This window comes from Homo sapiens, chromosome 12 (genome assembly GCF_000001405.40).
Source record: "Homo sapiens chromosome 12, GRCh38.p14 Primary Assembly".
Taxonomy (NCBI): Eukaryota; Metazoa; Chordata; class Mammalia; order Primates; family Hominidae; genus Homo; species Homo sapiens.
This window is the reverse complement of record NC_000012.12, coordinates 56,316,798-56,334,127: the sequence shown is the minus strand read 5'-3', so window position 1 is coordinate 56,334,127 and position 17,330 is coordinate 56,316,798. Positions and strand designations below refer to the sequence as shown.

Here is a 17,330-nt window from a genome sequence, read left to right as displayed (position 1 = left end):
TCTCCTGGGGTCGCCGTACCTGGCTCCTTCTGATTGGCTTAGATGCGCCCGGAGCCCTTCTGATTGGCTAAAATATGCCCCGAGCCCTTCTTGATTGGAAGAAGCGCCTCGGACCCCGGTCCTTGGCGCCGTAGTGGTTAGGTTGAGCCCTAGGCGTGGGGGAGAACTGGGGAAACTGGAATTTCCCGCGGAGCTGACAGCGCTTGCGCTCCCCCTACTCGTTCTAATTCCACGCGCTCCAAAATATCCGCCATGGAGAAATCTTGGTAATGACCCATTCCCCGTAAGCATCCCAGGAACACATCTGACCCTTGCCCTATCCCCCTCCTCACCGCTGCCGTGGGAGAATTCTAGATAACCGATTTTTCTGGTTCCCCCAGAGAATTCTGGGTAACTAGCCGTTTCCGTCACCTTCCCCTGCCCCCGCCCCAATTGTGGGTAACTGGCCATTATTGTTTTCCTCTAGAGAATCCTGGGTAGCTATTGGAGAGGATTCTAGGAAACTGACTTCTCGTTCTCCCCACCGTCCAATCCACCCGTTTTCACCCCCAATTCTGGGAGAAAGCACCTTAAATCCCTCTACCTAACTCCAACCCCCGCAATTCTCGCTCCCTTCACCTGATGATTCAGGGCTGAACAAGGCAAGTGAGCAGTCCGAAGTGAGAAGAAAGGGAAGTCAAGGATTAGGTTAGATAATGGGGTGGTGGAGAGTACAGAGGGCCTAGCGGAGGAGGGATAGGGACAACAGTTCTACCACCTCCACCCCCACTGCCCATCCCTCCCCCGCCTGCTTCATCCTTTGGCTGGCAGTCTCATCCCTCATGCCTGCCTCATCTCCCTCCTGCCCCCATAACCTAGAAGACCCTAAGTACCAGTACCTGGGCCTACCCTTGACTCAGCTACCTCTTTCCCCTTACAGGCCAGGATGTCCATTCTAGGCCCATCGGTGCTGTCTTGCTGAAGGTTGGGTCAGGCATCTAAAGGGACTGTGGTAAGGGAGGGTGTGACACAGGTGTAAGCTGCCATCGTCATCATGAACTTTGAGGGTCTGGACCCTGGACTGGCAGAATATGCCCCAGCCATGCATTCTGCCCTGGACCCTGTCTTGGATGCCCACCTGAACCCAAGTCTGCTACAGAATGTGGAGCTGGACCCAGAGGGAGTGGCCTTGGAGGCTCTTCCCGTCCAGGAATCAGTGCACATAATGGAAGGTGTCTACTCTGAATTGCACAGCGTGGTGGCTGAAGTGGGTGTACCTGTTTCCGTCTCCCACTTTGACTTGCACGAGGAGATGCTGTGGGTGGGGAGCCACGGGGTAAGAACTGTACCCCTTTGTGAGGGTTGAAAGATGTTGAAGGTCTTTATCTGGTCTTAACCCAAGGAAGCTGCTTTGCAGATAGCCAGTACCGAGGAGTTGTAGTGATGAGACAGCTGGGTCTGGTTGGAGGGATAAAGGGAGAATCTAGGATCTAGGAGTAAATGACATATTCTTTCTCAGGAGGCATCCCTTTTTTTTTTTTTTTTTTTCGAGACAGGGTCTTGCTCTGTCGCCTAGGCCAGAGTGCAATGGCGTAATGTGATCATGGCTCACTGCAGCCTCAATCTCCTGGGCTCACACAATCCTCCCACTTTAGCATCTCAAGTAGCTGGGACTACAGGCATGCGCAACCAAGACCAGCTAATTTTTAAAAAATTTTTTAGTCTTACTATGTTGCCCAGGCTTGTCTCAAACTCCTGAGCTCAAATGGTCCTCCTGCATAGAGCTGCCAAAGTGCTGGGGTTACAGGTGTGAGCCACGGCACCTGGCCAGCATCCCACTTTTGTCACAATTGCCCATCCAGTGTTTTGATTTATCTTGATAGTTGTACCCATCACTTAGTCTGTAGCCATCCAAATCTAATCTCAATTGCTGTTGCCCCACCTGTGTTTTCTATTTTTATTATTATAGAATATTTAATGAATGATTCTGCATATCTTCCATTGAATCATTTTGTCTTCTCTGGCTGATTTTAATATCTCTCAGAGCAGTTATCAATCTTAATTTTTTAAAATCTGTACCCGTATTGCCAATATGCTATGGTGCCCAAAGACTTTGTAAGAAATACTGTGCTGTCCGGCCGGGACCGGTGGCTCACTCCTGTAATCCCAGCACTTTGGGAGGCTGAGGCAGGCGGATCACGAGGTCAGGAGATCGAGACCATCCTGGCTAACATGGTGAAACCCTGTCTCTACTAAAAATGCAAAAAATTAGCTGGGCATGGTGGCAGGCGCCTGTAGTCCCAGCTACTCGGAAGGCTGAGGCAGGAGAATCGCTTGAACCTGGGAGGCAGAGGTTGCAGTGAGCCGAGATCACGCCACTGCACTCCAGCCTGGGTGACAGAGCGAGACTCCGTCTCAAAAAAAAACAAAAAACAAAAAAAAAAAAAACGCTGTCCTTCATTTACTGATTGACTTCTTTGGTCATGAATTGTTTTTCCATTAGAAGGGATGAATTTTTGTGTGTGATTCATTCAGTTTAATAGGCAGTGTCTACTGCTATGCTAGGCACTGTGAATAAAGCTAAATAAAACATAATCCTTGCCCTCAAGGAGTTTACAGGACAGTGAGGTAAAAAACATATACAAAACCAGATAATTTCATGGTACTAAGCGCCAGTGTGAAAATCTGTACTGGATGCTGGACAGGATGGAGAATAGTCAGAAAGGGCATCGAGGAGGAAGTAACCCTTGAACTGAGTCTTGCAACATGAGTAGAAATCAGGTGAGAAAGATGGGAAAAGGCGTCTTAGCATAGGATAAACAAAGATTCCCAAGATACTACAAAGCTTGCTGAGTACAAAATTCAGGAACTACAAGCAATTAGGATTTACCGGACTGGAAGAGGTAGACATTTATTCATTCAACCAGTGTTTTTTTGAGCCACATGCTAGGTGTCAGACCTTGCCCTAAGGTCTAGGTTTGGAATAAGCAGTAAACAGAAAAACATTACAATACATCAGGTGTTGATTAGTACTGTTAAGAAAAATGCTGGCTGGGCATGGTGACTCACACCTGTAATCCCAGCACTTTGGGAGGCCGAAGCAGGCGGATCACCTGAGGTCAGGAATTCAAGACCAACCTGGCCAACATGGTGAAACCCCCGTCTCTACTGAAAATATAAAAATTAGCTGGGTGTGGTGGCAGGTTCCTATAATCCCAGCTACTTGGGAGGCTGAAGCAGGAGAATTGCTTGAACCTGGGAGGCAGAGGTTGCAGTGAGCTGAGATCACACCACTGCACTCCTGCCTGGGTGACAGGGCAAGACTCCGTCTCAAAAAAAAGAAAAAGAAAAATACAATGAGGCCAGGCACAGTGGCACCTGTAATCCCGGCACTTTGATAAGCCAAGGTGGGAGGGTTGCTTGAGCCTAAGAGTTCAATACCAGTCTGGGCAACATAGCAAGACCCCATCTCTATTAAAAGAAAAATACAGGCCGGGCGCGGTGGCTCACGCCTGTAATCCCAGCACTTTGGGAGGCCGAGGCGGGCGGATCACGAGGTCAGGAGATCGAGACCATCCCGGCTAAAACGGTGAAACCCCGTCTCTACTAAAAATACAAAAAATTAGCCGGGCGTAGTGGCGGGCGCCTGTAGTCCCAGCTACTTGGGAGGCTGAGGCAGGAGAATGGCGTGAACCCGGGAGGCGGAGCTTGCAGTGAGCCGAGATCCCGCCACTGCACTCCAGCCTGGGCGACAGAGCGAGACTCCGTCTCAAAAAAAAAAAAAAAAAAAAAAAAGAAAAATACAGTTGAGTAAGGGGGTTGAGGTAATGAAGGGTGGGAAATGTTGCTATTTTGTTTGGTTTTGTAGTGTTTTGTTTTAATTTTAATCTTTTTTCCTAATGGCTCTTTTAGAAACAATGTTGCTACTTTAAATAGTTGGTCAGGAGTTCTCTCTGATAAAGTAACATTTGAATAGAGACTTGGATGCAGCACCAAAAAGGGGAACAAAGAGGCAGAGCTCCATGCCTCTAACTTATCCTTGTGCCTCTCCTTTACTATTCTAGGCCCTCTAGAAGGGAGGGAAGGAGCCATGTAGATATCTGGGGAAGGAACATTCTAGAGAACTTCATATGCTGTGTTAAAAGAGCTTGGACCTTGGACTTGAACCTTCAGGCCACTGAAGGGCTTTTTTTTTTTTTTTTTTTTAGGTGGAATCTCACTCTGTTGCCCAGGTTGGAGTGAAGTGGTGCCATCTCAGCTCACTGCAACCTCTGCCTCCCAGGTTAAAGTAATCCTCCTGCCTCAGCCTCCTGAGTAGCTGGGACTACAGGTGTGTGCCACCATGCTCAGCTAATTTTTGTATTTTTAGTAGAGATGACGTTTCACCATGTTGGCCAGGCTGGTGTCAAACTCCTGGCCTCAAGTGATCCACCTGCCTTGGCCTCCCAAAGTGCTGGGATTACAGTGTGAGCCACAGCACCCAGCCTCAGATTTGGGAAATATTTAGGAAGCAAAATAGGCCAGGTGCGGTGACTGATGCCTGTAATCCTAGAATTTTGGGAGGCCGAGGCAGGTGGATCACCTGAGGTCAGGAGTTCGAAACCAGCCTGGCCAACATGGTGAAACCCCCTTTCTACTAAAAATACAAAAAATTAGCTAGGTGTGGTGGTGCATGCCTGTAATCCTGGCTACTTGGGAGGCAGGAGAATTGCTTGAACCTGGGAGGCAGAGGTTGCAGTGAGCTGAGATCGTGCCATTGCACTCCAGCCTGGGCAACAAGAGTGAAACTCCATCTCAAAAAATAAATACATAAATAAAAATTTTAAAAAATCCTTGGTTATCTAGTGGTTAGGAAAAAAATACATAGGACTTGACTGTCAGATATATGGCTTGGTCAACTAGGTAGATCTTGGTACCATAGAGAATACAGTAAGAAAAATAGAAATAAAAATGGTGAATTTAATTTAGGATGTCATGAGTTTGAGGTTATGATGGGATGTTTAAGGAGGTTTAGTAGTTACCATCATCTTCTTGGTATCCATGTGGGATTGGTTCCAAGATCTAAAGATACCAGATACCAAAATTCAAGGATGCCTAAATCCGTTATAGAAAATGATATAGTATTTGCATATAACCTTATGCACATCCTCCCAGATGTGAAACATAAGAAAGCCAGCTGGCCAGTAGAGAATTGGACCATGTCCCTGACCTTCTATATACTGTTCTAACCAAGTGAGCCATTACCTATTCAGCAGGGTCATTGTGAGGACAAAATGAGGTAGAGTTTACCAAAATGCTGTGTAACACATTAAACAAACATAAGACAGTATTATCAGTGTCTTTATCACTAAGATTGACTGGTTCCTAGCCTTTTGCCCCAGTTGCTCCTAGTCACAAAGGCCAAGCAAGAAAGGATCCAAGCTGAGCCATGTTCAGTCCCTGACCTGGCCGTAGGGTGGCCCTTGCCCCTCCACTCTAAGTGTCTCTGTTGTCTTTGTCCTCTATAGGGCCATGCCACTTCATTTTTTGGCCCAGCCTTGGAGCGCTACTCATCCTTTCAAGTCAATGGCAGTGATGATATTCGGCAGATCCAGAGCCTGGAGAATGGTATCCTTTTTCTCACCAAGAACAACCTCAAGTATATGGCCCGTGGGGGCCTCATTATATTTGATTACCTGTAAGTGGCTTCTCAGCTCTGGACTAGGAACGAGGATGCCTCATAGGGTGGGAAGGCTAAGGGATTGGCAGCTTGTAAGGCCTGGGCCCCTTAGCCTTTCCTCTCCCCACCAGGCTGGATGAGAATGAGGATATGCACAGTCTCCTACTGACTGACAGCAGCACTCTACTCGTTGGTGGGCTGCAGAATCACATAATAGAGATTGATCTTAACACTGTCCAGGAGACTCAGAAGGTACAAGCTTGGGGCAAGAAAGACCTATGTGGGGTCTGAGGTTGTTGCGGGGGCAGGGTATGCTTGGGCTGGTAATGTGCCTGAGATGTGGGTGTGACCTTTCTGTTCCCTTGGTCTGTGGGAAAAATCATTCTTCTCACTGGTTTTTCCTGCTTCCCTCTCCAGTATGCAGTAGAGACGCCTGGAGTCACCATCATGAGACAGACAAATCGCTTCTTCTTCTGCGGCCACACGTCTGGCAAGGTGGCCAAGTTCCATTTCTCCTCCCACTGCAGGGCCCTGTTTCACTAGATACCTGATTGCGATCTGCTTTCCCTTAACTCTGGGGTGTAGTTGGATTGGAGGTGAGGGATGAGTGGAGTGAATTCACTTCCTACTCAGTGATGTTCTACTATGAGATTATTTTGCAGCTTGATGTTTTCTATGATAATGAAGTCTCCCTGAAGCCCCTTCTGGCTCTGGGCTTCTCTGTTTGCCTTTTCTGTGCTTTAACTTTCCCTGTCCTAAAGCCCTAGTTCCTTTGGTAGGGACCCCACTGGGTTAGGTAGGTGGCAGGTATTTTTCCTGATAACAGAATTTGCAGATAACTGAATTTTTTTTTTCTAGGTTTCCCTGAGAGACCTCCGTACTTTTAAGGTGGAACATGAGTTTGATGCCTTCTCAGGAAGTCTGTCAGACTTTGATGTGCATGGCAACCTGCTAGCTGCCTGTGGCTTCTCCAGCCGCCTCACTGGCCTGGCCTGCGACCGTTTCCTCAAGGTGTATGATTTGCGCATGATGCGTGCCATCACACCACTTCAAGTACATGTGGATCCTGCCTTCTTGCGCTTCATTCCTACATATACTTCTCGTCTTGCTATCATCTCTCAGTCAGGTATGAAGGGCATATGGGATTGGGTAGGAGGGATCGATGAGCAAAGGAGAGCTAGAACCCGAAGGAGTACTCATCCTGAAACCTCTTTGTTGGGGAAAGAAGTAACCTTTCATCAGGGTCCCAAGGTTTTACTTGGGTTTGGCCAGAGATTAGAGCTTTTATTTTCTTGAATATGAGGAACATGGAAAAAGGTAAAGATAAAGTAGGCAAAATAACTGTAGAATTGCTCTTTGCTGAGTAGCGAACCATCTGTGGTTTATGGAAGGCACGAAGTGGCATTCTGTCTCTAGGCATGGATTTGGGGCCCATCTTGTCCTGAAATCAGGGGAAGAGGATAGGAAGGGCATAAGAATATGGCTCCCTTTCACTTTCTAGGGCTCAGTGGGTTTCTTCCTCCTTTGTAGGGCAGTGCCAATTCTGTGAACCCACAGGCCTGGCCAACCCAGCCGATATCTTTCATGTGAATCCTGTGGGGCCTCTGCTAATGACATTTGATGTGTCAGCCAGCAAGCAGGCTCTGGCCTTTGGGGATTCTGAGGGCTGTGTGCACCTCTGGACTGATTCCCCGGAGCCTTCCTTCAACCCCTACTCCCGTGAGACTGAGTTTGCTTTGCCGTGTCTCGTGGACTCACTGCCTCCTCTGGACTGGAGCCAGGACCTGCTGCCTCTTTCCCTCATCCCTGTCCCACTCACCACTGACACACTTCTCTCTGATTGGCCTGCTGCCAACTCTGCTCCAGCTCCCAGGTTGTACCCTACCTCTGGGCCAAAAGGCGGGAGGGACAGGGAAAGGGCCAAGATACCAGAATTCTCTGCTAGCCCTGTTGTTATTCTACTACTTTCCTGATTTTTGTCTACCTTCAGTATTTTCTTTTTCTCTGGACCCTTGGGGATTGGGGAGTGGACCAGTGTACACCACAACTCTTTAAGTCCTAGAACTATGCTGGATTGTAGGCGAGCACCACCCGTGGATGCAGAGATTCTGCGCACCATGAAGAAGGTGGGCTTCATTGGCTATGCGCCCAATCCCCGCACCAGGCTGCGCAATCAGGTGTGTTCAGAGTGGAGGGTCAGCCCCGACCCCGGCCCACTGAAGTTTCTCCTATCTTTTTCCTTTACTAGTCTTTCTTTTGTTTTTAGATCCTGTTGGTAACCAACCAAATTGATGGAACTATGCTAGGTGTTAGGGAGGATTCAAAGATAGAGAAGCTAGGGTCCTTGCTGTTAGGAAGTTTAGTATTTGGTTGGTGAAGAGAAGACATAGCCATATCAGAAATTACGTTCTGTTGTTAAATGCTGAAGGAATGTCATAAGCATTTAGTGCCAGAGCTGTTTGGAGGAAAAATGTTATTCCAGGCTAAAGTGACCAAGGAAGGTGTAATGAAAGAGCTGGGTATTAAGCTGGAAAGGTGGGATATCAGTTAAGTAGATAGTAACAGAGGAGAATATCCAAGATGAGAGAAGAGTGTTAGTAAAGATCTCAAGAGGCATAAATGCAAAACACATATCTGAGGGGGACTACATGAGTATACCAGTCTGGCCGGAGTAGCTGTTGGTATTGGGATGTAGTGAGCGATTAAAATTAGAAGTGGCCAGATTGCGAAGCTTTGAACACCAGTCTATAATAGAGGAAGTAATACACAGAAAGCAGCATTCTGCAAGGGTTAATTTGGTAGTGGTGTGCTGGACAGAGTGAACATAGGGAGACCAGTGTGGACGCCATCACAGTTGTCCATCTGTGCTGAAGCAGAGTGATGGCAGTGGAAATAGAAAGGAAGCAGCGGATGCTGAGAGTGCTATGAATATAGAAGGTTCAGGACTTGGTGGCTGTTTCAATGTTGGGATAAATGAGTGTGAAGCCAAAGATGACAAGACATCCAACAAGGTTACCTCTTCCTAAAATCCCTAGATACCCTACAGACTCAAGGAGTCAGACAGTGAATTTGACAGCTTCAGCCAGGTCACTGAGTCACCAGTAGGACGAGAAGAGGAACCACATCTCCACATGGTTTCTAAGAAATACCGCAAGGTGCTGGGGGACATCAGGGCCTGTGGGATGTGGGGAAAGGTACCCTGGGAAGGAAGTCATATGAGAAAGGATTGAAGGACTCAGTCAGGAGGCCTTCAACTACCACCCTGGACCCAGGAGGAAGGCTCTAGGAAAGGCTGTGGCTACTGGAAAGATTTGGGGACTCTGAGAATATCCTTGTCTTGCTCAGACAATTTCTACCTTAGGTGACCATCAAATATTCCAAGCTAGGGCTGGAGGACTTTGACTTCAAACACTACAATAAGACCTTGTTTGCTGGATTAGAGCCCCACATTCCCAACGCCTACTGTAACTGCATGATCCAGGTAAGGGTTGGGTATTCCTGTAACTTGAACGTGCCTGCTGCTTTTCTTCTTCCCTATGGCTCTCGACCCTGCTCTTTCCAGGTCTCCTCAGCCGTGTTCTCTTTACCATGGTCTCCTCTACAATTCTTTCTTGCCTCTACAACTTTCAAGTCTCCTCTGAGCTCCACCGGTTTGGTGGACTCACTGCTTCGGTGGACTCCTGCTTCTGGGACATTTTCTCCACCAGCTCACTTAACCTCCATATTTCTCCTCACCCCCAGGCCAGTTTCCTACATCAGTTCTTCTGCTTTTCCCTCCAGGTGCTCTATTTCCTGGAGCCTGTACGCTGTCTAATTCAAAACCACCTTTGCCAGAAGGAGTTCTGTCTGGCATGTGAGCTGGGCTTCCTGTTTCACATGTTGGACCTCTCTCGTGGTGACCCTTGCCAGGTCAGTACTTGGAGACACTTAAAATGGAAGGGGAAGGAAGGTGGACACAAAAGACAAAATAACCCCTTTCCACCAACACATTTCCAGGGCAATAATTTTCTTCGGGCATTCCGTACTATTCCTGAGGCCTCAGCCCTCGGTCTAATCCTGGCTGACTCAGATGAGGCCTCAGGCAAGGGCAATCTGGCCAGGCTCATTCAGAGGTGGAATCGCTTCATTCTCACTCAACTGCATCAAGATATGCAGGAGCTGGAAATACCACAGGCTTATCGAGGTGCTGGAGGCAGGTATGAAATCAGGATAGAAATAGTTAAAGCCATCATGACAGGCCCCTCTGTGATTTAAAAGGTCTCCTAACTTCCTCAATGTGCATATATCATCCTCTCCACTCTTAGCAGCTTTTGCTCATCGGGGGACTCTGTTATTGGGCAGCTCTTCAGCTGTGAGATGGAGAACTGCAGCCTCTGCCGCTGTGGCAGTGAGACCGTGCGAGCCTCATCCACTCTGCTTTTCACACTCTCCTACCCTGATGGTAGCAAAAGTGGTATACCCTTCAGCTCAGTTGGGAAGGCTCCCCAAAATGTCCTGTAATATCAGGGAGAGGGTGTTGGGGACTAACTGTGGGTAGAGGGGAGAACCAGGAGTATAGCATCTAATTTTCCCTCAGATAAAACTGGGAAGAACTATGACTTTGCTCAGGTGCTGAAGCGAAGCATCTGCCTGGACCAGAATACACAGGCCTGGTGTGACACCTGTGAAAAGTACCAGCCCACGGTGAGTGGACTGTTGGACTGGACTAGAGTCCTGGTCCTGCCATGGAGATTCAGCCACTATCCCATGTGGGGCTGGCTCTGTCAGCACTGCCATCCAGGGATCTCTGGTGGAGTGAGGAATCCCAGTTTGAAGACGCAGACCCAGGTCCCTGTCCAGACTCCTTTTCCTGTACATTCCCTGCCATTCCTTGTTTGTTTCTTCCTCTCAGATTCAGACCCGCAACATCCGCCATCTGCCAGATATTCTTGTCATCAATTGTGAGGTGAACAGCTCAAAAGAGGCTGATTTCTGGAGAATGCAGGCTGAGGTAAGGACTCAGACTAGAAACAAGGCTTCCGGAATAATTTTTCATTTTATCCCCCTTCTGACCTCCATATATGATTACATTCCTGAAGAACTGGATGTTTTTCTTCTGTGTTCAGGTTGCCTTCAAGATGGCAGTAAAGAAACACGGTGGGGAAATCTCCAAGAACAAGGAATTTGCTTTGGCTGATTGGTAGGTGCTGTCTTGGGAGTTGTCAAAGGATTGAATTGCCCAGTGGTTCCTCTTATCAAGACCTCTTTCGGAACAAATTTCCAATTCTTCTGACCTGATAGGAAGGAACTAGGGAGTCCAGAGGGTGTGCTGGTGTGTCCCTCCATTGAGGAGTTGAAGAACGTCTGGCTTCCTTTCTCCATTCGCATGAAGATGACCAAAAACAAAGGGCTGGATGTTTGCAATTGGACTGATGGGGATGAGATGCAGGTTGTTGAAAAACCGGGAAGAGGAAAGGGAATAAGGGAGAGAAGGTGGGGCAGAAGGTAAAGGAGGGCAGGGGAAGGTGAAACTTAGCAGAGGGAAAAGGAAGAGAATAAGGCCTAGTATTTACCTGTTAGGGGATTTTCCATAGTCACTCAGTTCAGTGTTGGGGTCCTAGATGGGCTAGGATGGAGATAACCCACCCTGGTCCCCCATCCCCCATACCCCCAACTCCCTGTCCTCTGTCCCCATTCCCCTCCCTTCCCCATCCTTAAACTTAGCTTAGCAGCCTGGGTACCCCCCTCACAGTGGGGCCCAGCCAGGGCAGAGGAGGAGCATGGTGTCTATGTGTATGACCTGATGGCTACTGTGGTACACATCCTGGACTCACGCACAGGGGGCAGCCTGGTGGCTCACATCAAAGTTGGAGAGACCTACCACCAGCGCAAGGAGGTGAGTGAGGTTGTAGAGGGCAGGAACACTCCTGGGATGGCCACAGTGAGTCCCAGATCTGTCCTTGAGTCTGAGACAGAGTGGTCCAGCCATCAATTTGTATCGCCACAGGCTTTCTTTGTATTTCCATAGGGCGTTACTCACCAGCAGTGGTATCTGTTCAATGACTTTCTTATTGAACCTATTGATAAGGTTAGTTGCAACATGTTCTGTTTCTTCTTTCATTTCCCCTTTTCCTAGCATCCTTATCTTTAGGGCTCTATAGAATGCCAGGCAGATTCAACAGGGAGGGAGGAAGGAATCCTCAGGAATAAAAACCATTAGCACTTAAAAATAGCACCTGAAAAAAAACAAAAACTAGCACCTGAGTCCTGGCCTCCGTCTGAAGTGGGGGAAAAGGAAAAGGGTGATATACATTAGCCATAAGTGCTTTTTCTCTTCTATAGCATGAAGCTGTGCAGTTTGACATGAATTGGAAAGTACCTGCAATCCTTTATTATGTCAAACGGAATCTCAATTCCAGATACAACCTGAACAGTAAGTGCTACATAGTAGACCCAAGTGTGTGGACAGTTTAGATTGGGCTTCAGGGTGAGATCTGGGACATTGCTTGCAAGTACTTAGGATTGGTAACCAGTGTTAATATTTCTGGAGATACTAAAGAGATTCCTGCTCATCAGACCTTAAATTTAGAAGTGCGAAATCCAGCCTGAGCAACATAGCAAGATCCCATCTCTTTGAAAAAAAATTTTTTTTTTTTTTTTGAGATGCAGTCTTGCTCTGTCACCCAGGCTGGAGTGCAATTGCGCAATCTCGGCTCACTGCAACCTCTGCCTCCTGGGTTCAAGCGATTCTCCTGCCTCAGCCTCCTGAGTAGCTGGGATTACAGACGCCCACCACCACACCCGGCTAATTTTTTTGTATTTTTAGTAGAGACAGGGTTTCACCATGTTGGTCAGGCTGGCCTCGAACTCCTGACCTCATGATCTGCCCGCCTCAGCCTCCCAAAGTGCTGGGATTACAGGCGTGAGCAACTACACCCAGCCTAAAAAAATTTTTTTTTTTTTTTTAATTAGCCTAGTATAGGCCAGGCACAGTGGCTTATGGCCTGTAATCCCAGCATTTTGGGAGGCTGAGGCGGGCAGATCACTTGAGCTCAAGAGTTCAAAACCAGTTTGGGCAACATGGTGAAACCCTGTCTCTACAAAAAATACAAAAAGTAGCTGGGTATGGTGATGTGCTCCTGTTGTCCCAGCTACTTGGGAGGCTGAGGCAGGAGAATCACTTCAGCCTGGGAGTCAGAGATTTCAGTGAGTCAAGATTGCATCATTGCACTCCAGCCTGGGTGACGAGAGTGAAACCCTGTCTCAAAAAAAAAAAAAAAAATTTAGCTGAGTGTGGTGGCATATACTTGTGGTCCCAGCTATTGGAGAAGCTGAGGCGGGAGGATCACTTGAGCCCAGGAGGTCAAGGCTGCAGTGAGTGAGCCATGATTGCACCAGTGTACTCCAGCCTGGGCAACAGGATGAGACTGCTTTTTTTTTTTTTTTTGGACAGAGTTTCACTCTTGTCACCCAGGCTGGAGTGCAATGGCACAATTTTGGCTCACTGCGACCTCCACCTCCCGGGTTCAAGCAGTTCTCCTGCCTCAGCCTCCCGAGTAGCTGGGACTACAGGCACCTGCCACCATGTCCGGCTAATTTTTTGTATTTTTAGTAGAGACAGGGTTTCACCATGTTGGCCAGGTTGGTCTTGAACTCCTGACCTCGTGATCCACCCTCCTTGGCCTTCCAAAGTGCTGGGTTTACAGGCGTGAGCCACAGTGCCCAGCCTGAGACCCTGTCTTAAAAAAAAAAAAAAAAAAAAAAAGCAGCTGTAAGTCTTGAGAGTGGAGTGGAAATGAGATGAGGGGGGGATGTTTGATCAGAATGGCTTAGGTTATGATGTTACATCTAATTATTCTTTTTTTTGAGACAGAGTTTCGCTCTTGTTGCCCAGGCTGGAGTGCAATGGCATGATCTCAGCTCACTGCGACCTCTGCCTCCCGGGTTCAAGCGATTCCCCTGCCTCAGCCTCCCAAGTAGCTGGGATTACAGGCATGTGCCACCACGCCCGGCTAATTTTTTTTTGTGTCTAATTAGTAGAGACGGGGTTTCACCATGTTGGGCAGGCTGGTCTCAAACTCCTGACCTCAGGTGATCCGCCCGCCTCGGCCTCCCAAAGTGCTGGGATTACAGGCATTAGCCACCGCGCCTGGCTATGAGCTCCTTATTAAGTACCTATTTGGTACCTTTAAACCATAGTTTCTCTGTAACCTTTTTCTGGATTCTGTAAACTAAGGTCCAAGTGAAAATCTTATTCTTTCTTCTCTGTGGTCTTTTCTGGTTTTTTCTCAGCATGTTTGTTGATAATTTTGTGATGTGACCTGCTCTGTCTACCTGTCCCATTTATCAGACATGATCTTTTTTCTCACGTGCTTTGATTATTGAGGGATCACAGTGAAGACCCAGAGTCGATGATCAGCCACACTGGGCTTCTCTCCCCTAGTCACTTCCCTATCCAAGCCCTGTGTCCTCTGCATTCTCCCTTCTAGTCAAGAACCCTATTGAGGCAAGTGTCTTGCTGGCTGAAGCCTCGCTGGCACGGAAGCAGCGGAAAACACATACTACCTTTATTCCACTGATGCTGAATGAGATGCCACAGATTGGGGACCTGGTGGGTCTGGATGCTGAGTTTGTCACCCTTAATGAGGTAACCAAGACCAAAGGGATGGGGCATTGGAAGAGAACGCTGAGGATATTAGGAGTTGTAAGCATTTCTCTGATTTCCTTATTAACTCTTCTCATGTAGGAGGAAGCAGAGTTACGCAGTGATGGTACCAAGTCTACCATTAAACCAAGCCAGATGTCAGTAGCCAGGATTACCTGTGTTCGGGGCCAGGGACCCAATGAGGGTATCCCCTTCATTGATGACTACATCTCTACCCAGGAGCAGGTATTAGGATATGGAGATGCAAGTGAGGCACACCCTGGTGCTTACTTACAGTGCTCAAGAACCCAGGGAAGAGTGATAGGGGAAGACTCCATCTCACTTCCTGAAAAAGGCTTGTCCTTTTCTCTATTCCTAGGTGGTGGATTACTTGACTCAATACTCGGGTATAAAGCCTGGTGACCTCGATGCCAAAATTTCCTCCAAGCACCTAACAACTCTCAAGTCTACCTACTTAAAGCTTCGTTTTCTCATTGACATTGGAGTCAAGTTTGTGGGTCATGGCCTGCAGAAGGACTTCCGGGTCATCAACCTGATGGTTTGGCAGGGCTCTTTTAAGAGTCTTCTTGTGAGAGTGGGCCCCTCAGGGTATACATTGTGCCTTTAGAGAATGGGGAATTATAGGTCCCCTACCTTAAGTCTCCCCCTCTTTTATCCTTGCCAGGTGCCCAAGGACCAAGTCCTTGACACTGTCTACCTGTTCCATATGCCCCGAAAACGAATGATTTCCCTGCGATTCCTTGCTTGGTACTTTCTGGGTGAGTTGCTCTGCCTTGTAGGCCCCTGCTACATTAATAGCAGAAGCAGCCATTTAAAAAAAAAGAAATCATGTTCTTTGCGGCAACATGGATGGAGCTGTGGGCCATCATACTAAGTGAACTAACTCAGAAACAGAAAATCAAATACCACATATTCTCACTTATAAGTTGGAACTAAACAATGAGTACATATGGACATAAGAATGACATTAGGGACTCTAAAAGTTGGGGTGGTGGGTGAGGGGTGAGGGTTGAAAATTACGTATTGGGTGCATAGTTCACTATTTGCATATTAGGGATACCAGAAGCCCAGTCCCCACCAGTACACGATACACCCATGTAACAAACATGCACATGTACCCCAAATCTAAAATAAAATTTAAATATAAAAAATAAAAGCATGGGGGGAAAAGAAAAAGTAGGAAAAGTGTTAGAGGACAAAATGGGAGTAGGGGAGACCCTCAGTTAGTGGTGACAGTTACTAATGGATTTAATTAACTTCAATATCCCTTCTGTGCACTGAGGAAGATGTCTGACAATTTTCCTTAAGGGCAGTCAGGCTTTTTAGTTTTCTGGAGTCAGGTAGGAGTGGGGAGACATGTTCCTACCTCCCTTTGCTGGGTCCCAAACTATTCCACCTTTACTTACCCCAGACCTGAAGATTCAAGGGGAAACCCATGACAGTATTGAGGATGCCCGCACAGCCCTTCAGCTGTACCGAAAGTATCTGGAGCTAAGCAAAAATGGCACTGAGCCTGAGTCTTTCCACAAGGTGCTCAAGGGTCTTTATGAGAAGGGCAGAAAGATGGACTGGAAGGTGCCTGAGCCTGAGGGCCAAACAAGTCCCAAGAGTAAGACCTGGGATGGGACAAGGGAAACTGGACTGGGTGGATTTTGTATTTTGTTTGTTTGTGACAGGGTCTCACTCTGTCACCCAGGCTGAAGTGCAGTAGCGTGATTACAGCTCACTGCAGCCTCGACTTCCTGGGCTCAAGTGATTCTCCCACCTCAGCCTCCCAAGTACCTGGGACAACAGGCACACACCACCACACCCAGCTAATTTTTGTACTTTTTGTAGAAACAGGATTTTGCCATGTTGCCCAGGCTGGTCTTAAACTCCTGGGCTCAAGCGATCCACCCACCTTGGGCTCACAAAGTGCTGGGATTACAGGCATGAGCCTGAGCGCCCCCAATTGGGTGGATTTTGATTGCACATATGGAGAATAGCACTTAACAGTTTACAAAGCACTTCATCCTCCTAACATTCAGTAAAATACATTTTATCGAAACTCTCCATTAACTATAACTTCCTCTTGCCCAAGTCTAAAATGTTCAGGGAAGGTCCATGCCCTTTTTTCTCTTGCATTTTTCCTTCATAGGAAGTATGAGAAGATGCTTTTTCTCCACTCAGCTTGAATCATGCTTTTGGTTTTGTCTCTGACAGATGCAGCTGTCTTCTCCTCAGTGCTGGCGCTCTGACTACCCTTCCCAAAGAACCACGGCCCTCTCCCTTTACTGTTCTATAGCCCCAGAACTGGGAGATGGCTTCCTAAGTTGGCTATACCTTGTCCACTTCCAGTACTGGACGTGCTCAGGGTCTAGGGTCACAGATGGTGCTATTAATTGAACTGGAACACAGCAGAATTGTTGCAAAGGTTCTAGGAGCCAGATTCATTCCTTCTTCATTCTTTGCAAAACAGTGGTACAGACATGGAGTCTAGAATTGACCCAGATGGAAAGTAATTGGTATTCTTAATATCCTGGGTGACTAATATCCAGGCAGAGAAGCTCCTGGAACCATAACTGTAAGTTCCTAGCTGGCTAGGGATTGAAGTCCTGGACAGTGACAGAGGATACCACAGTAGTTCAAGACTTAGCACAAGTCACCAACTGCTTCAGGGATACCTGGAGGGGCCAGCAAGTAGAGTGTTGGTGGCCCAAGCAAACCAGTGTTGCCAATACCATTGCCAAAAGGGCCTTTGGATCCTGGACAAAGCTTGGCTGCCGGCTTCATTTATTCCTGCTGATGGCTGAGAAGCATCTGTCTTCCATCCCACTTGCCTGTCCCAAGTTTTGTTCCATTTTTTAAAAATTTGTTGTAAACTGCATGTTTTATAAAATAAAAATAAAATATCGTTTGTTATTTATCTCATTAGAGAACTGCTAGTGTGGGTTCTCTGGCTTCAGTCTTCCTCTCCTTCCTTTGAAGGTAAAGGTCCGGAATCCAAAGTTATGGATATGAAAGGGTATAATTAGGCCGGGCGCGGTGGCTCACTTCTGTAATCCTAGC

The 17,330-nt window shown here is 47.5% G+C and overlaps 1 protein-coding gene across 13 annotated transcripts, besides 4 other annotated features; it reads left to right on the top strand.

Moving 5' to 3' along the window:
- Nucleotides 123-292: an enhancer, noted in NCBI's record as "experimental_29684 CRE fragment used in MPRA reporter constructs". NCBI's record gives its function as "activates a minimal promoter by MPRAs in K562 erythroleukemia cells, with activity observed for both the introgressed and non-introgressed 12:56727705 or rs80317430 variant alleles {active_cell/tissue: K562}" and the evidence as "EXISTENCE:reporter gene assay evidence [ECO:0000049][PMID:34662402]".
- Nucleotides 128-17,192, top strand: PAN2 (poly(A) specific ribonuclease subunit PAN2). Of its 13 annotated transcripts, none has more exons than NM_001394701.1 (26): nt 128-266; nt 920-1,315; nt 5,487-5,656; nt 5,770-5,890; nt 6,056-6,133; nt 6,497-6,764; nt 7,169-7,511; nt 7,719-7,815; nt 8,674-8,793; nt 9,000-9,119; nt 9,419-9,547; nt 9,635-9,834; nt 9,946-10,079; nt 10,215-10,321; nt 10,530-10,628; nt 10,744-10,817; nt 10,919-11,066; nt 11,370-11,513; nt 11,646-11,705; nt 11,960-12,050; nt 14,107-14,264; nt 14,364-14,507; nt 14,641-14,820; nt 14,947-15,040; nt 15,694-15,891; nt 16,485-17,192. In NM_001394701.1, the coding sequence occupies exons 2-26, from the start codon at nt 1,034-1,036 to the stop codon at nt 16,517-16,519; spliced, it is 3,594 nt and encodes a 1,197-aa protein (NP_001381630.1). In that variant the 5' UTR covers nt 128-266; nt 920-1,033; the 3' UTR covers nt 16,520-17,192. The 13 variants fall into 13 exon arrangements, with proteins under 13 accessions (NP_001381630.1, NP_001159751.2, NP_055686.4 ...); NM_001166279.3 differs by having other exon boundaries at nt 9,946-10,091; NM_014871.6 differs by having other exon boundaries at nt 9,943-10,079.
- Nucleotides 192-223: a transcriptional cis regulatory region, noted in NCBI's record as "32 bp fragment centered on rs80317430 that was deleted by CRISPR/Cas9 targeting". NCBI's record gives its function as "positively regulates PAN2 and STAT2 gene expression in K562 erythroleukemia cells {active_cell/tissue: K562}" and the evidence as "EXISTENCE:deletion mutation evidence [ECO:0005510][PMID:34662402]".
- Nucleotide 207: a transcriptional cis regulatory region, noted in NCBI's record as "Neanderthal adaptively introgressed variant 12:56727705 (GRCh37/hg19 assembly coordinates) or rs80317430 in the experimental_29684 CRE". NCBI's record gives its function as "modulates activity of the experimental_29684 enhancer by MPRAs in K562 erythroleukemia cells, with lower activity for the introgressed variant {active_cell/tissue: K562}" and the evidence as "EXISTENCE:reporter gene assay evidence [ECO:0000049][PMID:34662402]".
- Nucleotides 12,717-12,917: a silencer, noted in NCBI's record as "peak1742 fragment used in MPRA reporter construct". NCBI's record gives its function as "represses an SCP1 promoter by STARR-seq MPRAs in K562 erythroleukemia cells {active_cell/tissue: K562}" and the evidence as "EXISTENCE:reporter gene assay evidence [ECO:0000049][PMID:32103011]".
- Nucleotides 17,193-17,330: the final 138 nt, after the last annotated feature.